Source organism: Homo sapiens, chromosome 19 (assembly GCF_000001405.40).
Source record: "Homo sapiens chromosome 19, GRCh38.p14 Primary Assembly".
Taxonomy (NCBI): Eukaryota; Metazoa; Chordata; class Mammalia; order Primates; family Hominidae; genus Homo; species Homo sapiens.
This window is the reverse complement of record NC_000019.10, coordinates 19,252,537-19,263,140: the sequence shown is the minus strand read 5'-3', so window position 1 is coordinate 19,263,140 and position 10,604 is coordinate 19,252,537. Positions and strand designations below refer to the sequence as shown.

General features: G+C 56.0%; 1 protein-coding gene across 1 annotated transcript; it reads left to right on the top strand.

Moving 5' to 3' along the window:
• Positions 1-336: 336 nt before the first annotated feature.
• Positions 337-8,385, top strand: HAPLN4 (hyaluronan and proteoglycan link protein 4). The gene is made up of 5 exons (NM_023002.3): positions 337-411; positions 1,578-1,695; positions 1,966-2,328; positions 4,286-4,618; positions 4,933-8,385. Exons 1-5 carry the CDS (start codon positions 409-411, stop codon positions 5,322-5,324), a joined length of 1,209 nt encoding a protein of 402 aa, NP_075378.1. The 5' UTR covers positions 337-408; the 3' UTR covers positions 5,325-8,385.
• Positions 8,386-10,604: the final 2,219 nt, after the last annotated feature.

The following is a 10,604-nucleotide window of genomic DNA, read 5'->3' as shown; positions in this document are numbered from 1 at the left end:
AGGTGGCCTGCAGGCCAAATGATCTCTTTCACCAGATCCCCCAGGTCCCCTGCCAAAGCACAGTAACCAAGATAGAAGACTCAGCCCCCTCCTCCATTTCAAAGATGGTTAAACTGAGGCTCAGAGAGGTTCTTCCCTGGCCTAAGTTCAGCTAGCAGGGTGAGGGAACTAGCTCTGCACTCCAAGTCCAGAGCGCTTCTTTCTCCGCCCGCGCTCCAGCCACTGCTCCAGGGGAGCGTGGGCCCCCGCGGCCCCTTTAATACACCCCGCCTCGCCCGCCTTCCTCCTCCCCTTGCAGGCAGACGCCGGGATTGCGCCGCCTGCAGGGACCTGCCCAGTCTTAACCGGGTGTGCGGGGAGCGCAGTCCGGGTGCGTAGGGGCCGCTCGGCGGGGGCCGCGCGGGCAAGATGGTAAGTGGGGCTGCGGGCGCGGGTGGTGTGTGCCCCGTCTCCCCAATCTTGGATTCTATATCTCTCTGCCTCTGAATCTATATCCCTCTGAGTTTCTTCTGTCTCTTCCTTTTCTCTGTCTCTCACCCTCTTTGATCTCTCTTTTTGGCACTCTAGGTTCTCTCCCTCTCCATTTCTCCCTGCCTCTCTCCATCTCTGTCATCCTCTCTGCCTTTTTCCTCTCCTCTCCGTTTCTGTCTTTCCCTGTCCCTATCTCTCCCTCCTCTTCTCTGAGTCTCTCTGCCTCTGGCACTCTCCTGTCTCTCCCTCTCCCTTTCTGTCTCTCCCTCTCCCTCTCTGTCGCTCCCTCTGCCTCTCTGTCTCTCCCTCTGCCTCTCTGTCTCCCTCTGCCTCTCTGTCTCTCCCTCTCCATCTGTGTCTCTCCCTCTCCATCTCTGTCTCTTCCTCTGCCTCTCTCTCTCTCCCTCTGCTTCTCTGTCTCTTCCTCTCTGTCTCTCCCTTTCCATCTCTGTCTTTCCCTCTCCATCTCTGTATCTTCCTCTGCCCCTCTGTCTCTCCCTCTGCCTCTCTGTCTCTCCCTCTCCATCTCTGTCTCTCCCTCTACATCTGTCTCTTCTTTTCCATCTGTCTCTCCCTCTCCATCTCTGCCTCTCTCTCTTCCCTTCCCCTTTTTCTGTGTCGCGCACTCTCTTCTCTGCCTCTCCCTGCCTTTCTCTCTGTCCCTGTTCTCTCCCCGCGTCTCTCCCTCTTTCTCTCCAGCTCTCCCCCCTCCCTGCCCGCCCCGGCCCGGTTTGCTGCAGTCTCCTGGCGCACGGATAACCTTGCTGCCGCCGCTCCTCCAGCTCTTCCCCACCCCCCTATCCCCGGCCCGGGCCAGGGCCAGAAGGGGGCGGGGCAGCGAGCCTCGGGTTTTGGGGTGGGGGGGAATGAGGCGGGATCTGGGGCAGGACTGAGGGCGGGGGGGAGTCTAGGGGCGTGGGTTCTTGCAGAAGCTAGGATGTGAGGTCCCAAGAGGAGGAGGGGGAGTTCTCCAGGACCCCGGAAAGGGTGGGGACATGGGCGTGAGAGAGGTCCTCGCTGTGGGGAAGGCAGGCCCGGGAGGGAGCCAGGCCTCCGAAAAGCCAAGGCTGGGAGGCTGGACTGAGCGCCCCGTGCCCGCCCCCCAGGTGTGCGCTCGGGCGGCCCTCGGTCCCGGCGCGCTCTGGGCCGCGGCCTGGGGCGTCCTGCTGCTCACAGCCCCTGCGGGGGCGCAGCGTGGCCGGAAGAAGGTCGTGCACGTGCTGGGTGAGTCAGGGCCGCTAAAAGTGGTCTTCTCCGCGAAAAGCAGAAGTGGCCAAGTGCGGAGAGGGGTAGCGGGTAGGGCGTTCCTGACGTCCGCGGTTCCCCCAGCCACTCCCCATCTGAGCCCCTCGCCCTCTCCCTGAGCCCCTGGACCCTTCTGATTCCCCGACCCCCACCCGAGTCTTCCCACGTTCCCCTCCCCAGAGACACCTTCCCCAGAGGCCCCCTTCTGCCCCTAGGCCCCTCCTCTGAACCCTGCTTGGTTGTCCTCAGAGGGTGAGTCGGGCTCGGTAGTGGTACAGACAGCGCCTGGGCAGGTGGTAAGCCACCGTGGTGGCACCATCGTCTTGCCCTGCCGCTACCACTATGAGGCAGCCGCCCACGGTCACGACGGCGTCCGGCTCAAGTGGACAAAGGTGGTGGACCCGCTGGCCTTCACCGACGTCTTCGTGGCACTAGGCCCCCAGCACCGGGCATTCGGCAGCTACCGTGGGCGGGCTGAGCTGCAGGGCGACGGGCCTGGGGATGCCTCCCTGGTCCTCCGCAACGTCACGCTGCAAGACTACGGGCGCTATGAGTGCGAAGTCACCAATGAGCTGGAAGATGACGCTGGCATGGTCAAGCTGGACCTGGAAGGTGATCAGCCGGTGGGGAGGATAAACCTTGCTTCTGAGGAAGGAGGGGGGCGGGGATGGCAAGGGACATAAACCAAATCAAGTTGGCCTGCAGGCATTTAGAAGGTTGGTTGGGGTAGAGCCCCCATATCTGGTTCTGGGTGATTTTCCTCCCCAGGGACATTGGCGATGTCTGGAGATATTTTACGTTGTCACATCTGGAGAAGGCAGTTGCTACTAGCCCCTAGTGGGTAGAGGCCAGGGATGCAGCTATACATCCTACCAGGCACAGGATAGTCCCCCACAAGGAGTGATCCAGGCCGGGCATGGTGGCTCACGACTGTAATCCCAGCACTTTGGGAGGTTGAGGCAGGCGGATCACCTGAGGTCAGGAGTTCAAGACCAGCCTGGCCAACATGCCAAAACCCCATCTCTAGTAAAAATACAAAAATTAGCCAGGCATGGTGGTGCATTCCTGTAATTCTAGCTACTTGGGAGGCTGAGGCAGGAAAATCTCTTGAACCCGGGAGGTGGAGGTTGCGGTGAGTGGAGATCGTGCCACTGCACTCCAGCCTGGGCGACAGAGCGAGACTCCATCTCAAAAATAAATAAATAAATACATAAATAAAATAAAATAAAAGTGATCCAGTCCAAAATGTCCACAATGAGGACACTGAGAAGTCCTGGGATAGGATTCAGGCACAGTGAGATCCAGGCACTCACACCGTGTCAGGAACCATCCTTCTGCTCTGCTTCCCAGGTAGGCTTTCTTCCGACAGGCTTCTCTTTCTGGAACCAAGACCACAGTGCCTAGGCTTTCACTTCCCTGCTTAGCAACTGATTTCCTAGGAGCAGCAGCTAGAGTCCCAGAGTTGTCCCTCACTGGCTCAGCTTGAGTCATGTGCCCAACTGTGAGCCAATCACTGTAGCTGGAAGATGGGATGCTCTGATTGGCTCACCCTGGAGCTGGGAGGTGGGGTTTCTATTTGAAGAATTCCCTCCCATTTGATTGGCCTTTTCCAGTTCTCTTTAGAAGATTCTAGGTGAGATTTCAGGGCCCTTGCTTGCTGACCTCCCTAACAATAACAAATAACAACAATAATAGCAGCAGCTCTCCTTTACTGGACATTTTCTGTGGCAGGTGCTTAGTTGAAGAGTTCTCAGGAGTCTCTAATTTAATTTCCTAAAAACCCCAAGGGAGACAGCTATTACCAGCAGATGGACAACAGGCTCAGAGAGGTTAGAGCCTTGCCCAGGACAGTGCTAGTTGGTGGCAGAGACAGGATTCAATCCCCAGTCTGTCAGCTCCAGGCCTTCTCCCTGGACCCTGTCTGCCTCTTTCCAGGGTACCCCACTCACCCCCAACCCGCGTCCCTCAAACACAGACACACAAAATACTTGAGCTGAACGGACTGTGAGTCCAATGAGGGACAAGTTCCAAAGTCATCAGAACTGAAGGTAGAAGGGAACCCAGTGGGTACTCCCTTGGACAATGCTGGGGGAATCAAAGGGGTCTTCACCTAGGGCCAATCTTCCAGGGGGTCCTAGTCTAGGAGAGTCAGCACTGAACGCAGGCTCCGTGGGCTCAGGGCTGGACCAGAGGGAGGGACCCAGTACTGGCGGAATGTCAGAGGCACACAGGACTCAATGGAAGAGGGTTTGGGAGTTGGATTTTGAAGGATGAATAGGAGTTCAACAGGTAGAATAAGGTGGAAAGAGCATGAGCAAAGTCCTCCAGAGGTGGAAGGGGATGGACACAAATAGTATGTTAAGGGGGAGGGTCAAGTGAATCCCAAGCTTAAAGTGAAGGGAGACAGCTATATGGGGTGTGAGCTGGGGAGGATCGTGGTCAGGTCTGAGGCCAGAGTGAGGAGGAATGGACTGAAAGGTCCCGGTTGAAGAGTCACATAGCACCCCAGACGTCAGGTGCATGAGGGTGGGCTGGGGTGTACCTGCTGATCCCGTGCGCCCCCCGCCAGGCGTGGTCTTTCCCTACCACCCCCGTGGAGGCCGATACAAGCTGACCTTCGCGGAGGCGCAGCGCGCGTGCGCCGAGCAGGACGGCATCCTGGCATCTGCAGAACAGCTGCACGCGGCCTGGCGCGACGGCCTGGACTGGTGCAACGCGGGCTGGTTGCGCGACGGCTCAGTGCAATACCCCGTGAACCGGCCCCGGGAGCCCTGCGGCGGCCTGGGGGGGACCGGGAGTGCAGGGGGCGGCGGTGATGCCAACGGGGGCCTGCGCAACTACGGGTATCGCCATAACGCCGAGGAACGCTACGACGCCTTCTGCTTCACGTCCAACCTGCCGGGTGCGTAGGCCTCACCCCAAGACTGGCCTCTGCTGCAACACTACCCCAACCCCGGGGCCTTCTTCCCCACCCAGCTCTTAGCGATCAGAAACAGGAGACCCCTCTCCCAAGAGTGCCTAGGCGCAGCACACACCGCCTGGTACCAACGCTGGTTGGGCCTAGGCTGGGGTCCCAGGCTGCAAAGGAGGAACTGTTCCTGGATCCCGGGGCCGAGGCCAGAGTCCTAGGCTGCATGCGGGGGGCAGTCCTGAATCCCACCGAAGCAGGGTCCCAGGAGCCGCACTAATAACCCACCCCCCACCTCACCCCCGCAGGGCGCGTGTTCTTCCTGAAGCCGCTGCGACCTGTACCCTTCTCCGGAGCTGCGCGCGCGTGTGCTGCGCGTGGCGCGGCCGTGGCCAAGGTGGGGCAGCTGTTCGCCGCGTGGAAGCTGCAGCTGCTAGACCGCTGCACCGCGGGTTGGCTGGCCGATGGCAGTGCGCGCTACCCCATCGTGAACCCGCGAGCGCGCTGCGGAGGCCGCAGGCCTGGTGTGCGCAGCCTCGGCTTCCCGGACGCCACCCGACGGCTCTTCGGCGTCTACTGCTACCGCGCTCCAGGAGCACCGGACCCGGCACCTGGCGGCTGGGGCTGGGGCTGGGCGGGCGGCGGCGGCTGGGCAGGGGGCGCGCGCGATCCTGCTGCCTGGACCCCTCTGCACGTCTAGGCTGGGAGTAGGCGGACAGCCAGGGCGCTTGACCACTGGTCTAGAGCCCTGTGGTCCCCTGGAGCCTGGCCACGCCCTTGAAGCCCTGGACACTGGCCACATTCCCTGTGGTCCCTTACAAACTAACTGTGCCCCTGGGGTCCCTGAAGACTGGCTAGTCCTGGCAGAACAGTACTTTGGAGTTCCCTGGAGCCTGGCCAGCCCTCACCTCTTCTGGATAGAGGATTCCCCCAACTCCCCAACTTTCTCCATGAGGGTCACGCCCCCTGAGGACCTCAGGAGGCCAGCAGAACCCGCAGGCTCCTGAAGACTGGCCACGCCTCCTGAGACCACTTGGAAACAGACCAACTGCCCCCGTGGTCGCCTGGTGGCTGGACCCCCGGGATTGACTAGAGACCGGCCGTACACCTTCTGCATCTCACTGGAGACTGAACACTAGTCCCTTGCGGTCACGTGGGACACTGGGCGCCTCCTCCTCCCCCTCCTCCTCACCTGGAGAGACTACAGGAACTTCAGGGTCACTCCCCGTGGTCACATGGAGGTTGTGGGCCGAGGCGCTTATTTTCCCTTATGGTGACCTGAGTCCTGGAGACTCCCATTCTCCCCCTCTCCCTGAGAGTCCCCTGCAGTTTCTGGGTAACAGGGCACACCCCTCTAGTTTCATGGGCGAGCACCCCCATCTGCCACCTCAGACTGACACACAGCCAGCTGGCTCACTTACTGGGGGCCACGTCCCACCCCTCAGATATTTCTTTGAAGGGAGAGCAAACCCACCCTGTCCTCTGACGTCCCTTTCCCAACTGTCACCAAACAGACCATCTTCCCAGGCCTGGGGACCGGTAAGATCCATGTCACTAGTTATGCAGAGCAGTTGCCTTGGGTCCCACTGTCACCAAGGCAACCAGTCCTGCTGCTACCTGTCACCTAGAGTCACACACCCCTTCCCTCATCAGGCACACCCATGAAGACAGTGCCTCCCTCCTCCAGCTGTAACCATGGATACCACACATTTCTCATCTCATTGGCCCCCACCCCAGAGACCTCCACCTCAACTTCTGGCTGTCCCTACCCTGACTCACCGCCATGGAGATCACCCTCCCCGAAGCTGTCGCCAGGGTGACCCAACATCCAGTTCTCCGGCTCTCACCATGGAAACAAACTGTCCCTGTCCCCAGGCCCACTCCAGTTCCAGACCACCCTCCATGCTCCACCCCCAGGCGGTTTGGACCCCACCACTGTTGCCATGGTGACCAAACTCTGGAGTCCGAGGTAACAGAACACCTGTCCCCCTAGGCTTTTCCTTGTGGACAACGGGGCCCTGTTCACCAAGCTGTTGCCATAGAGACTGTCAACGTTGTCCTCATGACAACCAGACTTCCAGTTCTCAGGAACTTCTCATTGTGGGCCAGAAGTCCTGGGTGCCTCCTACTAGGGCTACCCTACTGCACCCCATCAGGGGCCTGATGGCTGCCCCTTCCCCAGACAGGGCTGGACTTCTGGAGCTGCTAAGCCACCCTCCGTTTGCACGTTAACTCTATGCCGGATAGCAGCTGTGCACGAGACAATCTTGCAACACCCGGGCATGTTTGTCGTCGTCCTACAAATGAGGAAACCGAGCCTATGGCGTGCCCTGGTCTGTTGAGATATGCAAGCACTGAGCTCCTCTTTTGTCCTCTGAGACCCCATCTCCATTCTCACCCAGTTCCTCTCTCCTTCCCTGACCCCCACCCACATTTCCCTCCTTAGAGATCCAGGAGGGATGGAATGTTCTTTAAAATTCAACACCCACCAGGCTCTAAGCGGCGATCTGTGCTAAGAGGTCAGGACCCAGCCGAAGTCCTCGGCGTTGACAGGCAGCTGGGGGGACATGATCCATGGACAAGGCCATCCCGGCCGTGGGAGACCCCAGTCCCGAAGTCTTGCCTGCAGGAGTACTGGGGTCCCCCTGGGGCCCTCTTTACTGTCACGTCATCTCTAGGAAACCTATCTCTGAGTTTTGGGACCAGGTCGGTTTGGGTTTGAATTCTGCCTCTTCTTGCTCACTGTGTGACCAAGTGACAAACTCCTTCTGAACCTGTGTTCTCCCACTGTACCAGGGCTGTTCTGTGGTCCCCGTGAGTGCCAAGCATACAGTAGGGGCTCAATAAATCCTTGTTTCTTTTGATGAATGAGAAAATGAGGCAGCCAGTGGGTAATTCCTGTATAAATGCACTTTGGTAGATAAGATGTTACAAGCTTGGGGGGCTTGGGGTTTTTTTTGTTTTGTTTTTTTGAGATGGAGTCCTGCCCTGTCGCCCAGGCTGGAGTGCAGTCGTGCAATCTTGGCTCACTGCAACCTCTGCCTCCCGGGTTCAAGTGATTCTCCTGCCTCAGCCTCCCGAGTAGCTGGGATTACAGGTGCCTGCCACCACACCCGGCTAATTTTTGTATTTTTAGTAGAGACAGGGTTTCACCATGTTGGCCAGGCTGGTCTTGAACTCCTGACCTCAGGTGATCTACCCACCTCGGCCTCCCAAAGTGTTGGGGTTACAGGTGTGAGCCACTGCGCCTGGCCGGGCTTGATTTTTATTCTCTTTGGAAGTGGGGTCCTTCATTCCTCCCCCACCTCCCCAATCTCTTGCTCCTCTTTCTTCCCCCATCCTGTGCCCACTGTCTCCCTTTAGCCACCCACCATGGGTCTGCTCCTTGTCAACTCTGTCCTGACTGGGTCATTGACAAGATCCAGGGCATGAAATTCGGGAAACTGGAAGGGGGGTTCCTGTACCAGGAAGGGAGAGACATTACAAACTTTCCCTGACATGAATATGTGGGCTGAGGGCAGGGGCTGAGGAAGCACTGGAAGTTTCTAGGATACAACAAAGCATGAAGAGAAAAAATAGTGTAAGGTCCTGACCGTGCACAGTGGATCATGCCTATAATCCCAGCACTTTAAGAGACCAAGGTGGGAGGATTGCTTGAGCCAGAAGGTCGAGGCTGCAGTGAGCCATGATTGTACCACTGCACTCCAGCTTGGGCGACGGAGTGAGACCCTGTCTCAAAAAATAAAAATAAGTAAATCTCCTCTTCCTCATTCTTCTGACAGTCTGAAGAGGATCAATGGTTTGGATTGAATGCATCATAATTTTGTAGTCAGGTTCCTAATGGTGGACATTTATATTGTTCTCAATATGTTTCTGCTAGAAGTAAGTATCCACATCATCACTCACAAGTTCAAGTATAACTGGAGGATGATATCAGAAGTTGTTTGTTCAGGCCGGGCACGGCAGCTCACACCTGTAATACCAGCACTTTGGAAGGCTGAGGTGGGCGAATCACGAGGTCAGGAGATCGAGATCATCCTGGCTAACATGGTGAAACCCCGTCTCTACTAAAAATACAAAAAATTAGCTGGGCGTGGTGGCAGGCACCTGTAGTCCCAGCTACTCAGGAGGCTGAGGCAGGAGAATGGCCTAACCTGGGATGCGGAGCTTGCAGTGAGCTGAGATAGCGCCACTGCACTCCAGCCTGGGCGACAGAGCGAGACTCCGTCTCAAAAAAAAAAAAAAAAAAAGAAGCTGTTTGTTCAAAGGGTCAAAACTCCCCATTTACCATTTTTTTTTTTTTTTTTTTTTTTTGAGACAGAGTTTTGCTCCTATTGCCCAGGCTGGAGTGCAATGTCACGGTCTCGGCTCACCTCAACCTCTGCTTCCCGGGTTCGAGCGATTCTTCTGCCTAAGCCTCTAAAGTAGCTGGGATTACAGGCGCCTGCCACTGCGCCCAACTAATTTTTCTGTTTTTAGCAGAGATGGGGTTTTACCATGTTGGCCAGGTTGGTCTCGAACTCCTGACCTCAGGTGATCCACCTGCCTTGGCCTCCTACGGTGCTAGTATTACAGGCATGAGCCACTGTGCCCAGACTAAAACTCGCCGTTTTCATAGTGATTTCCACATTTTCTTAGAGATGGGGCCAATTTATACTCCACAGGTAATAGATATACTCACCTGGCTGGGCATGGTGGCTCACGGCTGTAATCCCAACAGTTTGGGAGGCCGAGGCGGGTGGATCACCTGAGGTCAGGAGTTCGAGACTAGCCTGGCCAACATGGCAAAACCCCATCTCTACCAAAAATACAAAAATTAGCCCAGCATGGTGGCAGGCACCTGTAATCCCAACTACTCGGGAGGTTGAGGCAGGAGAATCACTTGAACTGAGGAGGCGGAGGTTACAGTGAGGTGAGACTGCACCACTGCACTCCAGCCTGGGCAACAGAGCAAGACCCCTTCTCAAAAAAAAAAAAAAGTACTCACCTGTTCCACACATCCTCATTAGCCTCATGTCTTGTCACTTTTTATTTTTGTCAATCTGATAGGTGAAAAATGGTATCTCAATGTGGTTGTTGCTTGCGTTTCTATTTGTGAGGTTGAACATCTCCAACCACCACCACCAACTTTGACCTTAGGTGCAGGCGGTCGAGCAAATCGTAAATCATTCACAGTTCAAGCACATTATCATCTTTGATATATGCAAGGATCTTTTTTTTTTTTTTAGATGGAGATCACTCTATCACCCAGGCTGGAGTGCAATGGTGTGATCTTGGCTCACTGCAACCTCCACATCCTGGGTTCAAGCGATTCTCCTGTTTCAGCCTCCTGAGTAGCTGGGATTACAGGTGCGCATCACCGCACCTGGCTAATTTTTGTATGTTTAGTAGAGACAGGGTTTCACCATGTTAGCCAGGCTGGTCTTGAACTCCTGGCCTCATGTGATCTGCTCACCTTAGCCTCCCAAATTGCTGGGATTACAGGCGTGAACCACCATGCTGGCCATCTTTTGATACATTTGTTTATTCTCTTATATTTTTATGTCCTTCCTTGTGAATCTAGATGTTCTTGCAAAATGTGTATTATTTTATTGAGTCTATATTGTAGTTTTAGAGCTGCTATTTCCTTTTTTGTAAACTTTTTTTTATATCTTTTGCCTGCTTGGCTAATGGATTTGTCTTTTTCCTACTGATTCGAGTGAGCCCTTCTTTTTTTTTTTTTTTTTTTTTTTCTGAGACGGAGTCTCTCTCTGTTGCCAGGCTAGAGTGCAGTGGCACCATCTCAGCTCACTGCAACTTCTGCCTCCTGGGTTCAAGTGATTCTCCTGCCTCAGCTTCCTGAGTAGCTGGGGCTACAGGCGCATGCCACCATGCCCAGCTGATTTTTGTAGTTTTAATAGAGACAGGGTTTCACCATGTTGGCCAAGATGGTCTCGATCTCTTGACCCTGTGATCCGCCTGGCTCGGCCTCCCAAGGTGC